This window comes from Homo sapiens, chromosome 4, assembly GCF_000001405.40.
Source record: "Homo sapiens chromosome 4, GRCh38.p14 Primary Assembly".
Classification (NCBI taxonomy): domain Eukaryota; kingdom Metazoa; phylum Chordata; class Mammalia; order Primates; family Hominidae; genus Homo; species Homo sapiens.
Window position 1 is genome coordinate 36,996,598 of NC_000004.12, and position 25,736 is coordinate 37,022,333.

At 38.0% G+C, this 25,736-nt stretch overlaps 1 long non-coding RNA gene across 1 annotated transcript; it reads left to right on the forward strand.

The window, feature by feature from the left end:
* Positions 1–5,181: 5,181 nt before the first annotated feature.
* Positions 5,182–24,109, forward strand: LINC02616 (long intergenic non-protein coding RNA 2616). Its single transcript, NR_134669.2, has 2 exons — positions 5,182–5,298; positions 21,721–24,109. It is a non-coding gene; the product is annotated as a long intergenic non-protein coding RNA 2616 (long non-coding RNA).
* The last annotated feature ends 1,627 nt before the right edge of the window (positions 24,110–25,736 follow it).

A 25,736-nucleotide genomic window follows, 5' to 3' on the forward strand; every position in this document is an offset into this window, starting at 1 on the left:
GGTTGAGTATCCTTTATCTGAAATTTTTGGAGCCAAAAGTTTTCAGAGTTCAGATTTGGTTGCATTTTGGAATATTTGCATATACCTAAGGAGATATCTTGAAGATGGGACCCAAGTATAAACACAAAATGCATTATGATTCATACATACCTTGTACACATAGGCTGCAGGTAATTTTATAAAATACTTTAAATAATTTTATTAAACATGAAACAGAGTTTGTGTTAAGCACTTTGGTATGGAATTCTCCACCTCTGGTATCATGTCAGGGCTCAAAAAAATTTTAGATTTTGTGATTTTGGATTATGATTGGATGCTCAACCTGTATATATGTATATACAGGTATATATATATATATATATATATATATATATATATATACACCTTCATAAAAATATTTTTCACAAATGTAATATAAATCAAGCTCTCTCAGGTTTTCTTATAAAACATTTTTAAACGTAGCTATCAAATGCTTCTCTGGATTAAGTAACATTATCTGAAATTTGTTTTACTCTACTACATTATTGCTGGTAAATTATGATTTTAAGTACAATGATGTTGGCCAAAATTAAGGAGCTTTATAAGAAACTGGCATATGAAATTTATTTTATTTATTCTGGACATACTGTTGAGGGTAATTCTGACTCCATTAACTCCATTAAATAGTCTTTTGTTTTTGTTTTTGTTTTGTTTTTGAGACCGGGTGGTGCTTGTTGCCCAGGCTGGAGTGCAGTGACAAAATCATAGCTCATTGTAACCTTGGAGTCCTGGGCTCAAGCTATCCTCCTGCCTCAGCCTCTGGGACTTACAGCCATATGCCACTGCACTGGACTTTTTTTTTTTTTTAATTTTTGTAGACATGGGGCCTGGCTATGTTACCCAGGCTGGTCTTGGACTCCTAGCCTTACACAATCCTCCTGCTTTAACCTCCCAAAGTGCTGGGATTACAGATTTGAACCACCACACCTGGCTTAGTCTTGTATTGTTGACATCCGCCAAAACTCACCAATCAATTGATATCAAAAAAACACCTATAATCACACAACATACACAGTTTTTTTATTTAGCTTGCTATGGCAACGGAGAACATACCCAGGGAACCATTAGGAGCATCTTAGTAAAGTGAAACTAGAAGGGGCTTCTTATGGACTCTGGACAAGTGTTGGAGGGCTCTGAGAACAGATTATGAAAGTAAGTTGGGTGCTATCAGAGAAGAGAGGCAATTCGATAATGGGTATCTCAATGATGTCCCCCAGAAGCAGGGACAATGAAAACTAAAATCACATTGTCATTGCAAGGAAGCAGAGATCACTCAGAAAAGGGGATGTGAGTCATTTTATGGTTGCAGCACAGCCTTGCCTTTGTTTAGCTAGAAACACTGTTGTTACTGGAAGCATCACTAAATTTCCTCTGACCATGTCTGCATCCATCGAAAAGAGTGGTTGGTTTTGGTTAGAACCATCACTGATTGCAAGCAGGGCACATTTTTGTTTCCTCACGAATCCAACAGAACAGAAAATTATTAGTTTCTACTACCAGAGGTGCTGGTGCTTCTCCTCAACCACTGGTTTGTTTTCATCTTATTAAGGCTAGAAATTGTAAAAAAGAGAAAAAGACTGACTCCATCCTCTAAGTGACTGCTAGAACCTCCCAAGGCAACACAGCTACAGTGCATCTATTTGACACCAACGGAATCAGTAGCATCATCTTAATTTTCCTAACTTCTTTTCCCTTTACCCAATTTTATGGCTTATTTCCATTTTTTACTTTACATGTTTTGAAAATCACACCAATTTTTTTTTAGGCTAAAGCAGAGAGTAAATAAAAAATAACTGTCAAGCTTGGATTGTCTTTTATTTGTGAGCTCAGAATCAGGATGAGAAGAAGGTAGGAAGTTGTTATGAATGTGGATGGAAGTTACGGACAATGCTGGGAAACAAGCCAGTATTAAGGACTGTACCCATTTCTAAACTGGGCTCCATCGTTAACTGCCCTTGTGACCTACAGCAAGCATTGAACTTTCTTAAGCTTTATTTTCCTCATGTTTAAAGTAGAATAATATTGTACCAATATAGTTAGGATAAAATAAGAATTAGCATGTGAAAGACTTCTCGTAATTTTACATGACAATGTATGAATATTTTGTTAAAAATTTAGTGCCAAACTCTTTGTGCACAAAAGGCATACTGTTTAAACAAACTGGTATCTACCTATCTTAGAAATTTTTATTATTAACAGATTTAAAGCCAAATATAACAATATACGCAAAAGTAGGAGAATGGGTTTCTAAATTTTTGGAAAACAATAATAGGAGTTCTTAAGATGCATGAAAGGCAACTGAATTTCATGACAGAAATAGTAAGAAAGAAGGAATAAGAAAATGTTTCTTGGCCGGGCGCAGTGGATCATGCCTGTAATCCCAGCTCTTTGGGATTACAAGGCAGGTGGGTCACCTGTCAGAAGTTCAAGACCAGCCTAGCCAATATGATGAAACCTCGTCTCTACTAAAAATACAAAAATTAGCTGGGCATGATGGCCAGTGCCTGTAATCCCAGCTACTTGGGAGGTTGAGGCAGGAGAATCGCTTGAACCTGAGAGGTGGAGGTTGCAGTGAGCCGAGATCGCGCCACTGCACTCCAGCCTGAGCGACTGAGCGAATCTCTGTCTCAAAAAAAAAAAAAAAAAAAAAGAAAAGAAAATGTTTCTTTCCTTGAAGGTGACTATAATGAAATCTTTCACTTTTCTTTCATCGTAGAAAGCAAGAATCACAATTATACAGCAATTATGCAAAACCTCCCATGCTCATAAATACTAATCTAATGAGCCCTGATTCAGATTCTAAATCATCCAATTAAATGCTAATTGGCTTATTCTCTTTAAAATGAGTTTACACTGATTCTATTCATTTCCTGATCTTTGGACGTATGAGTCTAGTTTCCTTGATTAAAAAGGACCATGGCTGGATGGTACTAATAAGAAAGCAAGCACATAAAGTATCACAGAGCCCCATGGCCAACATAGCATAAAAGTATCTATGAAGACGCAAAATATACTTTTACCATATATGCCTGGATTTTACACTAACATAAGTATTGTATCCTACAAAGAGTCATAGAGACACATTGTGCTCATTTCTATACTGTCATACTTATCAAAATTTATATGCAGTTCATCTTTGCAAATTGTCTTCAGAGACGGTTTAGAGGCAACATACGATAACCATTTTTGCATCAGACTCTCATCTACATATCAACCACACATAGCCTTCTTTTCCACAGTCACCTCTCATTCAATTAAAATGGCTCTGAATGAATGACCTTTGGTTGTTTACAAATACCAAGTCTGCCTGTAAGAGCTTAAGCTTTGCTGCCATTGAAGACATGCAGACATCAGCTCCAGAATGTGCTATGGTTGAGTTCTGCATAAGTCTCACCTGATGGGAGTATCCTCAGAGAAGAGCTGGCTGTTGCACAGGAGGCAATGCTCCCTGGAAAGGAACCCAGCTCCTATGCCTGGGAAACAGTCACATTGCTTCAGGGTCACGTTTTGAAAATACTGTGTATAGCCTATGCATAAAACTCTTGTAAAACATTTGCAAAGACACCTGATACTTTCTATTCTTAGCTCAAGAGTTCAACTCATTTTATTTAAAAGATATTAAAATATTAAGTTTGCAGAAGGCTGGTATTACAAAAACCTGATATTCAACAGAAGTAGAGTGAATTAAGATGGTAGAAGTTTGCTTCCATTCACATTCTCCATGAAGCCAAGAGACCACAAGTCTACCTAGAAGATTTCGTATCTTCCCAGGTAATCACTTTAAAAGGTGACTCAGACCAGTGTGTAGGTCTATGTTTATCTTTCTGTCCATCCTAAACCACCCCTGTGAGCAGGATACAGATAAGGAAAAGGGAAGATTGTTTCACTAGTCTGGCAGGCAAAGTCTAGATAACTGATTGAAAGATGCCATTATGGGACATAGGCTGTGTTCAGCCTACCTAGTTGTAAGGCACACGATAAGATAAAAATCCCAGGAAAGATACATTTTGGAAATCCTGCTTTTGACTCAGTTTTTCAACAGGCATTGTCATGGTGATGAGAAGAGAAAAACTTGGGAGAAAACGCTAGAAGAAATTAAAATGATGTGACATGATATCTACATAAGGTTTTCCCTGACATAGACCTTGTCAGGGGCCTTGCCAGATATTTATGACACTGTGGATGCCATGTGGTTAGTGGAACTTCCAGAGTTCCTGTAAGCCACACCAGCATCTGATCTCTGAGTTTCTATAGGGCCATGGCTAGTAGGTTGATAGATCTTGGTGATACTGAAACGTTAATACAGCCAAGGCCATTTTGGGTGTACATGTAGGTGTGTGCCTATGTGGGTGAAATTGCTGATTTTATCTCCCACAATATGCTGAGTGATCATGAAAGTAACATTTTAAATGTGAGTCCAGAGTATCAACTGGTTTTATCAAAACCTAATTGGAAAAAGTATATATATATATATATATATATATATATATATATATATATATATTTATATATATTCCACCTCTCTAGGATATTTTTGGTGTTTTTTATAATTGTTATTTTCATTGTAGTAAGAGTATTTAAATGAGATCTACCCTTTTAACAAATTTTAAGTGTACAATAGAGTATCATTGATGAATATAAATACATTATTAAAAAGATACATGTTGGTGAGGTTATGTAGAAACTGGAACCCTTGTACATTGTTGGTGGGAATGTAACATAGTGCTGCCACTACGGAAAATAGTATAGAGTTTCCTCAAAAACTTAAAAATAGAACTGCTGTATGATCCAGCAATCCCACTGATTGGTATTTATCTAAAAGAATTGAAACTCAGATTTTGAAGAGATAGTATTTGCACCCCTATTTTCATTGCAACATTATTTACAGCAGCCAGGATGTGGAAAAGTGTCCATTGATGGATAAATGTGTAAAGAAAATGTGGTATATACAGACAAGGAATTTTATTCAGCCTTTAAAAAAAGGAAATTCTGCAATGCAACAACATGAAGGAACACGGAGGACATTATACTAAGTTAAATAAATGAGACACAGAAGGGCCAGTTCTAAGCTCTCCCGGGCCTGAAAGCTTAAGTAGATGAAAAACTCCTCCCTTCTCAGGCCCAGCCGGAAGACGCAAGGCCACTTGCGTCAGCAGCGTGCGTCAGCAAGGTAGCAGAAGCAGGAAGAGAGCCAGCAAGAAGACACCTACCCTGGCAGGAAGACACGTACCCGTGAAGATAGAGAAAGAGGCCATCCAGGTACAACGTAGCAGTTACCTCAGAATAGGACACCTCCTGTTTCCAGGAGACTATAAAACCTTTGCCCCCTCCTCACTTGGGGGCTGACGCCATTAGGCCTCAGCCCGCCTGCACCCAGGCGCTCATTAAAACAGCATGTTGCCCGGCGCGGTGGTTCATGCCTGTAATCCCAGCACTTTGGGAGGCCTAGGCGGGCGGATCTCGAGGTCAGGAGATCTAGACCATCCTGGCTAACAGGGGGAAACCCTGTCTCTACTAACAATACAAAAAATTAGCCGGGCATGATGGCGGGAGCCTGTAGTCCCAGCTACTGGGGAAGCTGAGGCAGGAGAATGGCGCGAACCCGGGAGGCGGAGCTTGCAGTGAGGGGAGATGGCGCTACTGCACTCCAGCCTGGGCGGCAGAGCGAGACTCCGTCTCAAAACAAAAAAAAAACAGCATGTTGCTCCACACTGCCTTGTGTTGTCTGCTGGCGCACTCTTGGTGTTCGAACTGATACAAGAACCTTACACCAATACTGTATGATTCTTTTATATGATGAATGTAAAACAGTAAAACTCTTAAATGCAGAGAGTAGAATGGTAGTTACTAGGGACTAAAAAGAGGGGGTAACTGGGAATTACTATTCAGCAGGTACAAAATTTCAGTTAACCAAAATGAATTAGTTCTAGAGATCTGCTGCACAACACTATGCCTATTGCCATTGTCGTTTTCTTGTTTTGGTTTGGTTTGGTTTTATGCTTAATTTCTTCTTAAAAAAAATTATTGACTCAAGCCCTATTTAGCTGTCCAGGAAATCTATGGGGGAACAAAGAACTATAACACACCAGTCACCCAGTCTGTCCCCTTTCCACTCTGTTAGAGTGAGATGTCTTAGATAGATTTGATCTCAGGCTCCAATCCTGTCACTCAGTTATGCTTAGCATTCCAAGATCCTTAGCAAGACATAAACGTCCTGTCACTGTGGCTGCTACCAACCACTCTAGCTGCAACTCTTGCCTCTTCCCTATATGCAGTCTAGGTTCCAACAGTACTGAACCACTGAATTCCTTGAATTTGAATACGATTTAACACTTCCTTGCCTCATGTGACATTCTTTGGTCAGAATCCATTTCCTGGCTCTCTTTTTTGCCTTGATAATAGTAGCTGTATTCCTAGGCTGCTTATTTACATATATCTTCTGGGAAGCCTTTCTTTTTAAAATTTGTACAAATTTATGGGGTATGTGTGACTTTTTTTATGTGTTTATAGCATGGAGTGATTTCAAGTCAGGGTATTCAGGGTGTCCATTACCCCAGTACAATACGTTTTTGTTAACTATAGTCACTCTGCTATCAAACATTGGATTTATTCCTTCTATTTAACTGTATGTTTGTACCATTTAACCAGTCCTTTTCATCTTTCCCCGTCTCCCTGACTCACCTTTCCCATTCTCTGTTGTCTGTCTTTACTCTCTACTTTTAGGTGACCAAACTTTTTAGCTCCCACATATCAGTGAGAAAATACAATAATTGCCTTTTTGTATCTGGCTTATTTCATTTAAGATAATGACTCCAGTTTGATGTTTATGCAAATGACATTACTTCATTCTATTTTATGGCTGAATAGTTTTCCATTTTGTTTATGTATGCCACATTTTTGTGAGCCATTCATCATTGATGGACATTTAGGTTGATTTTATATCTTTGCTATTCTGAGTAGTGCTGCAATAAACATGTTAGTGCAGGTATCTCTTTGATATACAGATTTCTTTCTGTGAAGCCTTTTGTGATTTAACCTCCAGTTTCATCTATTAGACATCTATTATTTACTGACCAGTATCTATTCTAACAACATTATCATGGACATCCTTAAATAAATGTCTCCTACTACAGGTTTCAAGTTTGCCTGGGATTGAAGGGTTGGAGGATGTGGGACTTCCAATGCAAAAACTGGGACAGTGAAAACCAGGATAGTTGGTCACCCTACCATGGATGGGACCTGACCTTCTGTCTAGTCACTTTTGTTTAAAATATATTTCCCCCATTAAGCTTTGATGTTCTTTGAAGGCAATGTCCTCCCGTTGGTCCTTGGCATATAATACTTTTCTTGATGCTTAATAAATATTCAGTGAATGATTTTCTATTTTCAAAGGGCTTAAAATAGCTCTTGGGGTATGAACATATTTATTTTATGGGTTGTTTCCTTCCTGTTAATAGTAGCACTGTGATATGGTTTGGCTGTGTCCCCACCCAAATCTTATCTTGAATTCCCATGTCTTTCCCTTGCTGTTCTCATGATAGAGAGTAAGTCTCACAAGATCTGATGGTTATTATAAGGGGGAATTTTCCTGCACAAGCTCTCTTTTTGTGTGCTGCCATCCATGTAAGACATGACTGGCTGCTCCTTGCCTTCCACCGTGATTGTGAAGCCTCACCAGCCGTGTGGAACTGTAAGTCCAATAAACTTCTTTCTTTTGTAAATTGCCCGGTCTCAGGTGTGTCTTTATCAGCAGCATGAAAATGGACTATTACAGTAAATTGGTACAAGTAGAGTGGGGTGCTGCTGAAAAGATACGTGAAAATGTGGAAGCAACTTTGGAACTGGGTTATAGGCAGAAGTTGGAACAGTTTGGAGGGCTCAGAAGAAGACAGGAAAATGTGGGAAAGTTTGGAACCGTAGAGACTTGTTGAATGGCTCTGATCAAAATCCTGATAGCCATATGGACAATAAGGTCCAGGCTGAGGTGGTCTAAGATGGAGATGAGGAACTTCTTGGGAACTGGAGCGAAGGTGACTCTTGCTATGTTTTAGCAAACACACTGGTGGCATTTTTCCCCTGCTTTAGAGATTTGTGGAACTTTGAACATGAAAGAGATAATTTAGCGTATCTGGTGAAAGAAATTTCTAAACAGCAAAGCATTCAAGAGGCGACTTGGGTCCTGTTAAAGGCATTCAATTTTATAGGGAAGCAGAGCATAAAAGTTCAGAAAATTTGAAGCCTGACAATGTGATAGAAAACAAAAGCCCATTTTCTGAGGAGAAATTGAAGCTGGCTGCAGATATTTGCATAAGTAATGAGGAGCCTAATGTTCATCCCCAAGACAGTAAAGAAAATGTCTCCAGGGCATGTCAGAGGTCTTCTTGTCAGCCCCTCCCATCACAGACTAGGAGGCCTAGGAGAAAATGGTTTCATGGGCCAGGCCCAGGGTTCCTGTGCTGTGTGCAATCTATGAAGTTGGTGGCCTGCATCCTGGCCACTCCAGCCATGACTAACAGGGGCCAAGGTACAGCTCAAGCTGTTGCTTCAGAGGATGGAAGCCCGAAGCCTTGGCAGCTTACATGTGGTGTTGAGCCTGTGGGTGCCCAGAAATCAAGAATTGAGGTTTGGGAACCTCTGTCTAGATTTCAGAAGAGTTATAGAAATGCCTGGATGCCCAGACAAAAGTTTGCTGCAGGGATGGGGCCCTCATGGAGAACCTCTGCTAGGGCAGTGTGGAAGGGAAATGTGGGGTTGGAGTCCCAACACAGAGTCGCTACTGGGGCACTGCCTAGCAGAGCTTGAGAAGAGGGCCACCATCCTCCAGACCTCAGAATGGTAGATCCACCGACAGCTTGCACTGTGCACCTGGAAAAGCTACAGACACTCAACACCAGCCCGTGAAAGCAGCTGGGAGGGAGGCTGTACCCTGCAAAGCCACAGGGGTGGAGCTGCCCAAGACCATGGCAGCACACTTCTTGCATCAGCGTGACCTGCGTGTGACACATGGAGTCAAAGGAGATCATTTGGAGTTTTAAGATTTGACTGCCCCGGGCCGGGCGCGGTGGCTCACGCCTGTAATCCCAGCACTTTGGGAGGCCGAGGCGGGTGGATCATGAGGTCAGGAGATCGAGACCATCCTGGCTAACAAGGTGAAACCCCGTCTCTACTAAAAATACAAAAAATTAGCCGGGCGCGGTGGCGGGCGCCTGTAGTCCCAGCTACTCGGGAGGCTGAGGCAGGAGAATGGCGTGAACCCGGGAGGCGGAGCTTGCAGTGAGCTGAGATTGCGCCACTGCAGTCCGCAGTCCGGCCTGGGCGACAGAGCGAGATTCCGTCTCAAAAAAAAAAAAAAAAAAGATTTGACTGCCCCACAGGATTTCAGACTTGCATGGGGCCTGTAGCCCTTTTGTTTTGGCCAATGTCTCCCATTTTGGATGGCTGTATTTACCCAATGGCTGTACCCCCATTGTATCTAGGAGGTAACTAACTTGCTTTTGATTTTATAGGCTCATAGGTGGAAGTGATTTGCTTTGTCTTGGATGAGATTTTGGACTGTGGACTTTTGAGTTAATGCTGAAATGAGTTAAGACCTTGGGGAACTGTTGAGAAGGCATGATTGGTTTTGAAATGTGAGAACATGATATTTGAGAGGGACCAGGCTGGAATGATATGGTTTGTCTGTGTCTCCACTCAAATCTCATCTTGAATTCCCATGTTTTGTGGGAGGGACTTGGAGGGAGGTAATTTAATCATGGGGGCAGATCTTTCCCATGCTGTTCTTGTGATAGAAAGTAAGTCTCATAGGATCCGATGGTTACTGTAAGGGGGAGTTTTCCTGCACAAGCTCTCTTTTTGCCTGCTGCTATCCACGTAAGACATGACTGGCTGCTCCTTGCCTTCTGCCATGATTGTGAAGCCTCCTCTGCCATGTGGAACTGTAAGTCCAATAAACTTCTTTCTTTTGTAAATTTCCCAGTCTTGGGTATGTCTTTATCAGCAGCATGAAAACTGACTAATACACACTGTTAATAAGAGTTTAATTAAAAACCCCCAGAAACAGTCTAAATGTCCATTAACCAAATAATGTATAAGTACATGTTGAATAAATATACTATGGTCCAGTCACTGGAATAGTATACAGAAACAAAAATTAGTTGACTACCAATGTACAAAGCAGATTGATGAATCTTGAAATTATAATTTGTATTATATTTGGAAGATACAAAAGAATACATAATAAAATACGTATCAAATATATTTTAATATCTGCTAAAGGGGAAAAGAAAAAAGACTTCCATTATCAATCAATATGTGTGGGATTTTATTATTTTCATCAATACTATTACTTTTAGAAGCAGCTACTACTATTGAACATTCATTCCATGCCACACATTTAGCCCTTAATATACATTATCTTATTTGATTTTACTTTTTCAATAACTCTGCACTCTATAGGTGAAGAAACCAAGATACTGAGGTAGTAAATGCCTTACCAAGATATTGAGGTAGTAAATGCCTTACCTTGCCTTGCCAAACCAAGATACTGAGGTAATAAATGCCATATAAATATGCTGTTAGTGTTAAAGCCAGATTTCAATGCTGGTCCTACCTGGATTCAAAACTAACATTTGTTCAATGTACTATATTAATAATCCATCTAATGATCTCAATTATCTGTTAATGTGAATGCTCTTTGTGGTAAACACACTGCAGGGGTCCCCCTCCTCCTATCTCCATGATCCTTGCCTCCCAGTATTTATGTCTTTGTATAATCTTTTCTGCTTGAGTTGAGGCAGGACCTGTTACTTGCTTCTAACCAGTAGAATATGGCAAAGGTGATAGATGTCACTTCTGTGATTACATTACATTATATAGGATTCCATCTTGCTATCAGAATTATTCTGGAGACTGTCTCCTTAGGCCCATATGACAGCCCTCAGCTCAAGATAGTCTCCAGCTAATTTCCAGCAAGAAGCCAGGGCTCTGAGTCCTAGAGGCACATGGAAATGAATTCTGCCAACAGTCAGCTTGAAAGAGGATGCTTCTCTAGTTGAGCCTCCACATGAGAACCCAGCCCAGCTGACGGCTTGAGTACAGCTTTATAAGACCCTAAGCAGAGGACCCCCGCTTAATTTGTGCCTTAATTCCTGCCCTAAAACACAATTAGGTAATAAATGGGTGCTGTTCTCAGTTGCTATGCTTGTGATAGTTTGTTATGCTACAAAAGAAAATGAATACACTATCTTTTTTAAAAAATCATTTTTTCCCTCAAAGACAAGTTATGCACTTATTATGGGAGATTATTCTACATGTTTATAGAAGGCCTTAACCAGAGTTTGGAACTGGACTGCCTGCCTGATGATGTAATTATAGGAATTATATCCCAAAAATTAGTAATATTATGAAACTTGTAAGAGTACAAAATAATATCTTTGTGCATACTGCCCACTTTGAAGCTCAGTTAGTGCTACTTTGACTAGGTATGGTGTCATGCTGAGGGTCAGGTTCCAGCCCCAGCTGAGGGTTGAGGGGAGTGGGTGGACATGGGGCAGGGAGCTGGAAGAACACTTGAGAGACAGCAGGTAAATGAGACATGGCTTTATTCAGAAGCCTCTTCTCAGGGTCAGTGTTACATTTATACACTACACAAACAATAGTGGCTGAGAGCCAGATTGGGTGCTTTTCTATGTTATGTCAACATGGCTATGATTATATAAGGCATGGGACTATGCGCCTGTGCTACAAACTCGCTGAGTCATCCAGGCTGTTTACCTTGGCCTATGCCTGCTGCCCTATGCCTGCTTGGCTGCAGCACAGCCATGTTCCTTACATATGGCATTGTTGAAATTGAAATGTCATAGCCACACTGCAGAAGAGAGACATCCACCAGTCCTCATTAGACAACATAGCTGTATTAAATCCTGCTCTCTTCAGAAGCCAAGACCTATGCATTCCTTCATGAATAGCTTTTAAAGGTTAATTAAAAGCAGTGAGTAATAAAAATTTATAAGCTTCTGCTTATAATTTTTAATGGTACCATTTCTGACCTTTTGATTGTGATCCCATGATGTACTATCCAGATGCCAGTTGTTCACTGTTCCCAACAACTTAAAGGAGAACTCAACAGAACATAGAGTCCTTGCTTTTCCAGGAAAGTTTCTTCAAGGTTTGTTCTGGTGATGACAAATTCCTATGGCTGTTAGGTTTTCTGTTGTGAATGGGATATTCTTTTCTTGGAGATTCACAATCTACATTAGCATTTAATAAATATCAAAAAGTTTCAACTAAGAAAAATAATTAACAATTTCTTTACTAGCATTACATGTACTTATTTGTCCTCAGAAAGCTTTCTCAAAAACACCTTAAAAACTTAATAACTCCTGCTTGAGAAAGAGTGTGTGAAAAGAATGAACTCATCAATTTGGAATCTTTATTTTAAAAAATATTTACAGTAGCCTTCACACTTGAAATTTGAAGCATCAAATCTATTAAATAACAAAACAATATCAGAGCAAGTAAAACTAAAAGTTCACATGGAAAAATTTAACAATAAAACATTATTAGAAACTAAGTAGTAATATGTGACCAAGACTGGTCAAGAGATAAACTTGCACATATTAATGCTGTTATGCTCAGCTTTTATGTCCCAGATAAGACTAATAAAGAATGATGTCAATGTTAGGAAGGAAGATTAACTACATAGCAATATATTTGTATTGTCAATTTGAATATTTTACTGAAATATCAGCAAATGGTATATATTTGAATTTTCTAACACAGAAGTAAATTGTCTTCTGTCTTCAAATTTTATTTGTATTCACCAACACCAATAAGGCAGGGGTATGTTCCCACATGCCAACTTAGCTACAGTGATCTCTTTGCAGTTTCATAAACACAGCACCATCTCCCACCTTAGCACTTACTGTCTTTCTGCCTGAAATTCTCTTCCTCCAAATGTCTGAATGGCTTACTCCCTTGTTTTATCCAGGTATTTGCTCAAATATCTCATCAGCTCTTTCCTGGCTACCTTCCAAAAAGGGGCACATCACCAGCCTCACTTCCTCATCCCTTTACTCTTTATATTTTTCTTAATTGAAATAATCTATACTTGAGATAGTTTCTGTTGGCTTACTTGCTTATTGACTATTTACCCTAGATACCCAACTGCAATATAGGTTTCTTGACAGCAGAGATTTTGTTCAGTTGTGGATCCCCAGCATGTAGCATAGAGCATAATTCTCAGGAAGTATGAAATAAATAGCACATGAATTAATGGAATAGCAGAAGTTCATCCTTCAGAAGAGACTTATGGGCAGTCGTTTAAGGTAAGTTTAACATAGGAAAAGCAGTGAAATTCACCATATTAAGACTAAAAAAGAAATATGCAATCATCTCAATGCATATAAAAACACATTTAACAAAATCTGACATATATTTTTAATGAAAACTGTGCACACACTAGAAATAGAAGGGAACCCTCTCAACCTGATAATCATAACTACAAGAAAAGCTACAGCTAACATCACAATGGTAAAAGACTAGATGCTAGATGCTTTCTTCTAATATTGGAAACAAGGCAAGGATGTCCACTGCCAGCACTTATATTCAACATTACACTAGAGGTCCTAGTCAGTAAAATAAGGTGAGAAAAAAATTAATAAAAGCCCTCCAGAAAGGAAAAAGAGCAAATGAAACAAGTCTATTTACAGATGACATAATTGTCTATATAGAGCATTATATGGAGTCTATTAAAATGTTACTAGATCCAATATGTGAATTTAGCAAGATGGCAGAGTAAGAAATGAAACATACAAAATTTATTGTGTTTCTATAAACTAGTGATGAATAATTGGAAAATGAAATTTTAAAACATTATCATTGCTACCATGAGCCAATAAATTGAAAAATTTAAGATAAATGGATAAATTCCTAGATACTATCAAGATTGAACCAGGAAGAAATTCAAAACCTGAACAGACCAAAAACAAGCAATGAGTTCAAAGCCATAATAAAAAGTCTACTAGTAGAGGCTGGGTGCGGTGGCTGATGCCTGTAATCCCAGCACTTTGGGAGGCTGAGGTGGGCAGATCACAAGGTCAGGAGATCGAGACCATCCTGGCTAACACAGTGAAACCCTGTCTCTACTAAAAATACAAAAAAAAAAAAAAATTAGGCATGGTGGCAGGTGCCTGTAGTCCCAGCTACTCGGGAGGCTGAGTCAGGAGAATGGCATGAACCCAGGAGACGGAGCTTGCAGTGAGCTGAGATCGTGCCACTGCACTCCAGCCTGAGTGACAGAGTGAGACTCCATCTCAAAAAATAAAAAATAAAAAAAGTCTACTAGTAGAGAAAAGCCCAGGACCTGATGACTTCACTGCTGAATTCCACCAAATATTTAAAGAAGAACTAATACAAATCCTATTCCAACTATCATGAAAAATAGAGGAAGAGGGAATACTTCCAAACTCATTTTACTAAGACAGTATTACCCTAATATCAAAACCAGAAAAAGACAAATCAAAACCAGAAAAAAAAATCCCAAAAATCCTAAAATTTATATGGAACCACAAAAGACCCAGAATAGCCAAAGCTATCTTAAGTAAAAATAAGAAAACAGGAGGAAGCATATTAACTGCCTTCAAATTATACTACAGAGCTGTAGTAACCAAAACAGCATGGTACTGGCAAAAACAGACATAGACTAATGACCCAGAATAGAGAGCCTACAAATAAATCTACACATCTATGGTGAACTTGTTTTTGACAAAGATGCCAAGAACATACACTGGGGAAAAGAGTCTCTTCAATCAATGGTGCTGGGAAAACTGGATATTCATAAGCAGAAGAATAAAACTAGATGCCTATCTCTCACCATATACAAAAAAATAAAATCCAAATGAATTAAAGACTTAAATCTAAGTCATCAGACTGAAACTACTACAAGAAAACATTGGGCAAAATCCCCAGGCATTGGTCTGGGCAAAGATTTCTTGAAAAATACCCCACAAGTACAGGCAACCAAAGAAAACATGGACAAATGGGATCACATCAAGTTAAAAAGCTTCTGGACAGCAAAGGATACAATCAACAAAGTGAGGAGACAACCCACAGAATGGAAGTAAATATTTGCAAACTACCCCTCTGACAAGGGACTAATGTCCAAAATACATGAGGAACTCAGACAACTCCACAGGAAAAAAATCTAATAATCCAATCAAAAATGGGCAAAAGATTTTAATAGTTATTTCTCGGAGGAAAACATACAAATATCAAACAGACATTCAAAAGGTGTTCAACATCATTGATCATCAGAGAAATGCAAATCAAAACTACAATGAGATATCATCTCACTCCAGTTAAAATGTTATAGACAGGCAATAACAAATGCTGGAAAGGATTTGGCCTTGTACGCTGTTGGCGGGAATGTAAATTAGTACAACTAAGATGAAGAAGAGTTTGGAGGTTCCTCAAAAAACTGAAAATTGAACTACCATATGATCCATCAATCCAACTTCTGGGTATACACCTAAAAGAAGCAAAAATTGTATATTGAAGATATATCTGCACTCTTATTTTTGTTGCAGCCCTATTGATTATAGGCAAGATTTAGAAGCAACCTAAATGTTCATCAACGGATGAATGGAAAAATAAAATGTAGTACATATACACAATGGCGTACTATTTAACCATTAAAAAAAATGAGATCCTGTCATTTGCAACAACATGAATGGAACTGGAAAATATGTTAAGTGAAATAATAAATAAGCCAGGCATAAAAAGGCCAACATCACATGTTCTCACTTATTTGTAGAATCTAAAAATCAAATCAATTGATCTCATGGACATAGAGAGTTGAAAGATGGTTACCAGAGGCTGGGAAGGGGAGTAGGGTGAGGGCAAGGGTGGGGATGGTTAATGGGTACTAAAAAATATAGAAAAAAATGAATAAGACAAACTAATAGCACAATCAGGTAATTATAGTCAATAATAATTGTATATTTTAAAATAACTTAATATAATTGGATTGTTTTTAACTCAAGGGATAAATGCTTGAGGGGATGGATACCCCATTCTTCATGATGTGCTTATTTCACGTTGCATGCCTGTATCAAAACACCTCATGTACCTCATGGATATTTACACCTACTACGTACCCAAAAAATTCTAAAAATAACTTTTTTTAAATATTGTCATTTATAACAGCACCAAATTTATCAAATATTTAGAAACATTTTTGATAACATTTTAAAGTGTGTACACTCAAAACTGCAAAAATTGCTGAGAGAAAATTTTAAAAATACCTAAATAGAGTGATACTGTGTTAATGGATTGGAAGAGCTAAAAATTATTAAGATGTTGGTTCTCTTCAAACTGACTTTTTAATTTTTTTTTATTATACTTTAAGTTCTAGGGTACATGTGCACAATGTGCAGGTTTGTTACATATGTACATGTTGGTGTGCTGCACCCATAAACTCGTCATTTACATTAGGTATATCTCCTAATGCTATGCCTCCCCCCTCCCCCCACCCCACAACAGGCCCCGGTGTGTGATGTTCCCCTTCCTGTGTCCAAGTGTTCTCTTTGTTCAATTCCCACCTATCAGTGAGAACATGTGGTGTTTGGTTTTTAGATTTAATTAAATCCCAATAAAAATAATAGCAGGCTTTACTGTAGAACTTGGCAAGCTGATTCAAAGTTTACATGTAAACAAAGGACCTAGAATAGTCAAGATAGCTTTAAAAAGAGGAAAGTCTGAACACATGCAACACCTAAGTTTCAAGACATATTATGAAGCTATAATAATCGAGAGAGAGTGGTAATGGCATAAAAGCAGATGTATAGATCAATAAAAGAGAAAATAAAGTCCAAAAATAGAGTTTCACTTACATGGTCAAGATATTTTCACAAAGGTACCAAGGGAATTCAGTAGGGAAAATAATGGCTTTTCAACAAATGGTTCTAAAATTGTTAGATATTTACATGTAAAAAAAATGAGACCTGATTCATATATTGTACCCTTATAAAAATTAACTCAAAATGTATCACAGAATAAATACAAAACTAAAATATAAGACTTGTAGGAGAAAATATTTATGACCCAGGTTTAAGCAGAGATTTCTTAGATGTAACTTGAAGAGAATAATCCATAAAATTAAAACATGAAAAAAATAGTTGGGCTTAATCTATGTTAAACATTTCTCCTCCTTGGAAGACATTGATAAGAGAATAAACAAACAAGTCAAAGACTGGAATAAATATTTGAAAATCGCATATTGGAATTGTAACCAATTAAGGAATTGTGACCAAAATATACAAAAATCTCTCAAAACACAACAAAATGAACACAGAGAACTCAATCTAAAAACTGGGTAAGAAATTTAAACAGTTACTTCACTAGAGAAAATACATGGATGGAAAATAAATGAATAAAAAGATACTCAATATTATTTATAATTAGGGAAATAAAATTAAAACCACAATTAGATACCACTATTTTTCCATCAGAATGCTTAAAATTAAAAAGATTAATCAAAGTGTTGGCAAAGCTGTGGAGCAACTGGAACTTTCACACAGTGCTATTTGTAATGAAATATGGTACAGCCACTTTGGAAAACAGTTTATTAATTTATTCAAAAGTTAAACATATATCTTTCCTATGACTCAGCTATTCCACTGGGCATTTATGCAAGAGAGATAAAAGCATATGTTCAAACAAATATTTGTATATGAATGTTCATAGCAGCTTTATTTTAAACAGCTGAAACCTAGAAGCAATCCAAATGTTCTTCAACAGGTGAGTGGATTAAAAAAATGTGGAATATTTATGCAATAGAATGTTTTTCAACCATATAAAAGAAGGAACTGTTGACACATCTAATTACCTGAATAAATATCAAATTATTTTGAATAAAGTGAGCCAGGTAAAAAAGAAGGCATATGATTTTATTTTATTTACATAATATTCTAGAAAATGCAAACTAATCTATTGTGACAGAATGTGGTTTGTATTTGCATGATGTAAGACAAGAAAGGGTGGGGAAAGGGATGGCAAAGAATCACAAGGACACTTTTAGAAGTAATAAATACACTTACTATTTTCATCATAGTGGTAGTTTCACAGTTGTGTGACATATGCCAAAACATCAAATTGAGCACTTGAAATATATGCCATTTATTTTATATCTGTTACACTTCCACAAGCCTTTAAAAGAGGAAGAGAGAGAGCAAATTTGAAGTGACAGAGATAGAATGAAATTGCTTTCTGCTTGTTTCTACCATGATGCCCTCATTCAATAAGCTGGTTACATTTCCTCATGGGTTTGTAGGACATATAATGAGAATATATATATATATATATACACACGCTATATATTATATATAGACTATGTATGTGTTATATATACATATATGTATTTATACATATATACATTTAATCGTATACATATAAACATTTAATAATACTTCTTTAAAAAGGCCTCTGAGAGACCCCTTGTTCCTTCCACCATGTGAGGGTATAGCAAGAAGGTGACATCTGTGAGGAAGTGGGCCCTCACCAGTCACCAAATTTGTCAACACCTTGATCTTGGATTTCTCAGCCTCCAGAACTGAGAGAGTGAGTGAGAGAGAGAGAGAGAGAGAGAGAGAAGTGGTTAGCACATGCCTCCATTTTATTACTTTGTTGACTGATTCAAAATCATGAAGTTGAATCTTTAAACTATTCGTAGCCTGAAATGGTTTGTGGTTTTAGAATTTCTTAACCTCAACTATCCCTTCCTCAGAAAAACTCACTTGGAAATTTGTTTAAATTATTAAAAGTAATCCCAAAGGAGAGTGGCCTAGTCAGGTCAATCATGATTCCCGTTTCTAAGGCAATGCATCTAGATTCAAAAAATAGGAGTAGATATTTCCAACTTACAGTTATCTTAATCATTGGACTGTGCCCAGAGTCTATTCATAGTGCTGTTGCTTCCAGCATATATTTCACTATGGATCGAACTCCAATTATGCTTTCTATAATTTTCTTTAAGTGCTAACAAGCAATGATACTCAAATATGTATATTGAGATTCTCATTTTCAACTGCTTTCTGAACATATGTGCCAAGATATCTTCTGAAATTGAAGATGCTTTAAAAACATTTATGACATTCCCCTTCCAATTATTATTTTTGTTATTATTGAGGCAGAGTCTCACTCTGTCATCCAGGCTAAAGTGCAGCGGTGCGATCTCGGCTCACTGCAACTTCCACCTCCTGGGCTCAAGCGATTCTCCTGCCTCAGTCTCCTGGGTAGCTGGGATTACAGTCATGCGCCACCAAACCTGACTAATTTTTGTATTTTTAGTAGAGACGGGGTTTTGCCATGTTGACCAGGCTGGTCTTAAACTCCTGACCTGAAGTGATCCGCCTGCCTCTCTTGCAATATTTTATTCCCGTCTTACTTTCCTATTTTTTCGTGATCATTAAAAATCCAGAAGCATATATTAGGTACAGTGTGGCAAAAAATAGAAATGATCAAATCATTTTGAGGGCATCAATGAAAGCTTTCAGTGAAGTTGGTTGAACTGCGCCTTGCAGGAAGAGGAAGAAGAATTCTCTAAGTAAACAGAAAGTTGCATTGCTATGGTCTGCGTGCTTGTGTCTCCCCAAAATATACAAAATATATATGTTAAAATCCTGCCTCCAAAGGTGATTGTATTAGAAAGTGGGACTTTTGGGAGGTATTTAGGTCATAAAGGCAGATTCCTAATGAATGGGATTAGCACATTTATAAAAAGGTCCCTGAGAAACCCTTTGTCCCTTCCACTATGTGAGTACACAGCAAAAAGGTGTCATCTGTGAAGAAGTGGGCTCTCACCAGACACCAAATTTGCCAGCACCTTGATCTTGAGCTTCCCAGCCTCCAGAACTCTTAAATATAAATTTGTGTTGTTTATAAACTATCCAGGTTATGGTATTTTGTTATAGCAGCTCAGATGAACTAAGACATGCATTCAAAAACAAAGAAAACTGCATAAACCAATGCATGAACTAGAAGCAGTGGCATGTGCCTTGGGGATCTGCAAGAAGTTCTATATGGCTATTGCACAGCATAGAGACTGTATGTAGAAGGAAGGTACACAGACAGGAAGAGGGTCCCAGAGAGGAGTAATGGTATATTTTTGTAATTTAAAATAATTCAGTACAGACAGAGGGATATATGTGTTTATCTACAACTTATTATAAATCTACACATCTACACCCTTGAGTAATTGGTTAACATTTGAGAGGAATTTTCCTAATATTGCAGTTCCCCAGGAAACACTCCTGAGTCCTAAGATTCCATGTAGGAGGTTACTGTGGAGCGTTCTCAAGAACCACAGGTGAGAGAAGGGAAGAAAGCCCTATCTGATGCAGTGGCAACAGATAAGTCAGCTAAGGAAGAGAGCTCCGGGGCTGGAATGACTCTTCAGAGTTATGTTAATTAAAGCAAGTGGGCTGGACCAGACCTTTGTGCTGTCCACATCAAGCAATCATTGGCTTCCAGCTGCCTCCAAGAGGAGGCTGGTCTTTTGTCCTGTTATATTATTGAGCTATGCTGCAGCTTGGTTTCTCCAGAAGACAAAAACTGAAACAGAGTTAGGAGTGCAGGTTAATTTTGCCATGTGGCAGACACTGAGACCTACTTAGGAGTGCACACATCCATTAGGGAATCAAATCTGTGAGAGAAATGAGGCAGAAGCTGGCTTAGGCAAGGGGAGGAACAGACCACCATGTGGAGCTGACAAAGTCTCTCTTAGCCCAGTAGGGAGTTCCAGAGCAAAGATTATTGATTACAGGAGTCCCGTGATGGGTGGAAATTACTAGGCCATTGTAGCACCACTTTGTTCAGTCTCTGGCCCAAGGCCACCATGAGAAGAGTGTTACCTTGGTTCAAAAATGGAGGGAAGAGCAAACTAAAAAAGCCAAAAGCTGGAGGATGTCAGCGAACCACACTCCTCGCATCTAGACAGTAAGGGCTTTCTTGAAGAAAGATCTGAGCTGCACACCTCCTATGTTTACCATGTCTGCCTCATGACTTCATGATCTTCTTCTTCTTCTTCCTTTTTTTTTTTTTTGAGACGGAGTTTCACTCTTGTCACCCAGGCTGGAGTGCATTGGTGCAATCTCAGCTCACTGCAACCTCCACCTCCCAGATTCAATCGATTCTCCTGCCTCAGGCTCCCGAGTAGCTGGGATGCCTCGTGATCGTCTAAGATCTATGGTGTAGTTATGGTGCTCTGCCCTTTTGTGGAATCTCTCTGTCCGGTTCGTGAGAACCTACAAAAATATCTGTTATTTGACTAACCATTCCTTGAAGTTTCTTCCAGGGCTGGGATTTTATTCTTTTTAAGTTTCCCTGAGATATTGCAAATACAAATGGCAAATGAACATATAATGAAGTCACTATTTTAGATGTACAAATACCACACACACTGGTACCTCTGAGGTTATTTGAACTGCTGAATAGAGTAACTTTTATGTTTCCAATTCTTGCTAATGGAGAGAGAAGATTGCCTCTGTGTTAATGTTGGATTTTAAAATATATCCTTTTTAAGCACTATTAAGCATGTTTTAGGTTACAAAGTATATTTTATTCATCTTTTCCATTATAACAGAAAAAATATTATAAGGAAATGTCTCAAACTTTTCTTTCTTACAGTTCAGTCTCATTGAAAAGAAAGATGTCTACATCATTGAGAAGAAAAAGAAGCCCAATGTGGATTCAGCACAATTAACACGGAGTACTTGTCAAGGCACAGACACTGCAGGAATAAATTGTAGGCTGCATTTCTGGTCTTAGGACTCAGTCAAATGGGACATACAAGCCATGCAAGCCAACAGCATAATTGAAGACAAGGTGTTGGAAAAACAATATGAACAAGTTTTTATAGGATCAAAGGAAAGAAAGAATTCGACTGGATCTGAGGAGTACAAGAATATTCCAGAATTGGGGAATAAATAGGAGAGATCAACAGAAAGGCCATTTGAATCAGAACCAGCAGGCAGGAAGTATGAAACCATCTAGCAGCCTGTTCTGTAAGGACAAAAGATCATTAAATAGGCAAATTGCAGAAAGCCAGGGATAGTATGGTTTAGCTTTCTTTAATTCCTCTTTGTTGAGTTTCCCATTGTCTTAGAAATTATTCAGGAGGTAAGACCTACTGGTGTATGGCACAGCAGGAATATCAGGCCTATTAATCACAATCAAGTCTCTAATGCTTGTATTAATAAATCATGTTTAATGTAGAATAATTTCTGAAAATAATGCCACAGATCAATAAATAAATCTCTAAGAAAAGCTGAAGTTCCCAGGGTCATATCTGAGAACTTGAGGCCAGGGGAGTTTAGACACTCTAAGTAGAAGACACCCAGGCAAGACTTTTGTGGATAAGGACAATTATACAAGTTCATAGCCTTCTGAAATAAGCTTAGTTCTAATAATCTCAGGAAAAACACAAAATAATTTAGCTATACTGATGGTTTTTGGAGAACAATTTTCCCCAGATTTAAAAAAGATGATGGATGTGGCTAAATCACTGTCCCTAACCTCTTTATAGAACCCAGAGGTTCCAGCCTTAAGATTTAATTTCCAGGGTTAGGATGCAAGAAGTGACTTACTTTTGAGTTCTACCAGGAAGCAAAATGGCACACATCAAAAATAACTCGTTTGGCGATTTCATGAGTTTCCAAGCACTTTATAAAATGTACAGTCATCAGCTTTTTTCTTATTGCAATAAGAAACTATTTAAATGCTAGAAAATTGTATATTTCCAGCTTCAAAATGAAATATGTCATCCAACAGAATTAAAGCAGTAACTACAGAAAGAGTAATCAATAAATAGGCTCTTCCTCTTACTACCCTAGAGAATGGGGAGATGTTATTTGATCAATTGTTTTTCTAAAATTTATGACTGTTAGAAGCCAAGTCTAAATTTATATAGAAAAAGTTCAAGGAAATGATGTAACTATTCTCTAAGAAGGTGATTTAAGCCTCTGGATTACAGGAGGTTTAAGATGTTGCCCTTGTGGTAATGCAGTGTTTTAACTTAAGGGCCATCGTGAACATCAATTTTCCCTCATGAAACAAATCACCAGCCAACCAAAACCTCTATTACTTCTATATTTCCTGAAGGACTCTTCCATTCCCAAATTGAGTGTATGAATTGCAGCCTCATAAAGGTACCACCGAAATGTGGCAGTCTCATTTGGAGACACACATTACAAAAGAGTTTCAGCCAAAATAGTTTGAATCAGAAAGTGGTCTTTGAATAGTGATTCAGCCTAATACATCACTAAGAAGGAGAAACAAATGAGGCATTGGAGACCTTTCATCCAAGTGTCAAATAGGAAAAGTCGTTCATGTACCATGGCATGTACAGGAAAGCAGTGATGTTTCAAGAACTAACTGGCAAAGACTATCAGATTTTAGAAACAAAGTCTGCATTTCATGATGCCCCAAAATCTAGTTGAAAACATAATATTCAATATTTGTTACCTCTTTTTTTGTATATTTATTTGTTATACTGAACTGAATTATTCACTTATTATTTGAAGTTATGTTCTTATAGGAAGCTAGGCACCAACCAGCAGTTGCTAATAATATACTATAATTTAGTAAGTAATTCAATTGAATAAAATTTATGACAAATTTAACAAACATGTTAATTAAAATGCATACTCACGCTGCAGCGTCACATTAATCTTTGTGCCACCAGTGCCTATGCCATGCTTAGTATGCATCAAATATTTGAGCAGTACACAAGTGAGTACTCTGAGAGCTCCCCCCACCAAAAATATGATGATTAAATACAGTTATGATCAGATCCCCAGAGTGTGGCTCTAAACTGTATGGGGGCCAAGTTTGAATACTGTTGTGTCTTACACTGTTATTACCTATCCAGTATCTATTTCCCCATATTCCTTATAAATAAAACCTAGATTTTGATTGGGACAGTAAGGTGTCCCACTGAAAACTCATTTCTCTAACCAATGTGATGCCAGTGCTTGCCCAAAAAGAGGGCATCCCTTCGAAATAAAAAGGCAAAGCTTCTTTTGCTTTTTATTTTTACTTCTTTCTGCTTGATAGCTAGGTATAATATCTAGTTTTGGTGCAGCCATGAGGATAACAGTTGCACATTTAGGATGGTGGAGAAAGTTAGAAAGAGGCTAAATCCTTGATAACACTGCAGAGCTATTGCTTCTATCATTAGCTTAATTCTAGGCTTCTCACTGAGTGAGAAAAATAGACTAATTGTTGAAACTATTGCTTTCATTTGCTTGAAGTCAAATATATTCCTTCTCTGTGTGTCCTTTTGACAATATCTTTAAAGTTATAAATACATAGAAATATCACTTTTCACCTTTATTCTTTTACAAGTATTACCTTGGTTCCAGAACATTGATTTGAGTGAACAAATGGTTAATGTTTGAAAACTTTCCTGAAATTTCTTGCCTCTAACAAGAGCCAGAAGGAAGACTGTTCACATATTCTTTATATCTTGAGCCAGATTGTCAATTCCTCCAGGCCTAATCCATTACTTTGTGATTATTGATTATTCAGTTTATGAAAATGAGTATGACACAAGTTCCTTCTTGCAAATCAGATGTCAATACCTCAGAAGGTCCTTCACCCAAATTATGGCAGCCACCCAGTCATTCACAACCACGGCATCTTGTTTTAATTTTTGGTATAGCCCTGATAAACCTCTGATACTTTTCTAATTTACTTATGTATGTATTCACGCATGTGTGCCTTTGTTTACTTTTAGTATCCTCCCCCAAGTGCTAGGATATGAGCAGAGAATTTGTCTGCTTTATCTAGAAATATATCCTTGGCTTATAGGAGACAAGTAGGCATATTTGTTGAATGACTGAATGACTGAATCAGTAAGTATGAGAATCAAAGAATTGTTAGATATAGTCACTGACCTGAGGAAATTTCAAAGACAAATAAGGAAATGAGAGACTTACTAGAAAATATGAAAAAATGAAGTTATAAGAATGCTTTAAAAAAAAGGCCAAGTGTGGTGGCTCACATCTGTAATCCCAGCACTTTGGGAGGCCAAGGCAGGAGGATCATTTGAGGTCAGGAGTTTGAGACCAGCCTGGCCAACCTGGCGAAACCCCATATCTACTAAAAATACAAAAATTAGCCAGACGTGGTTGTGGGTGCCTGTAATCCCAGCTACTCAGGAGTCTGAGACAGGAGAACTGCTTGAACCCAGGAGGTGGAGGTTGCAGTGAGCCAAGATCGTACCACTGCACTCCAGCCTGGGCAACAAGCAAGACTCTGTCTCTAAAAACCAAAAAAAGGATATTAAAAGGACAGAGGTACAGTCAGAACCCAATGAAGATAAGCCACAACTTGGATTTTTTAGTAGCTCAGAGGACCAAGACTTTCATATGGATTCAGGCAGCAGAGAGAGCAAAGCCATAGTGAAAGGAGGAGGGCTGGAGCAAAGCATGTTGTAGCATAACATATCTGTGAGTTTAACCAGTAAAAAAGGCTTGGTGTCTCTTTGAGAACATTTGTGATGTGGTTGGAAAAATGGGAGACTCTGCTCAAAGATTGTGGTTTTAGGATTGGCTATGCTGAGTTATTAGGTGAGTGCAAAAGTAATTGCAGTTTTTGCATTGTTGGAATTTGCCATTTGATATTGGAATATACTCTTAAAT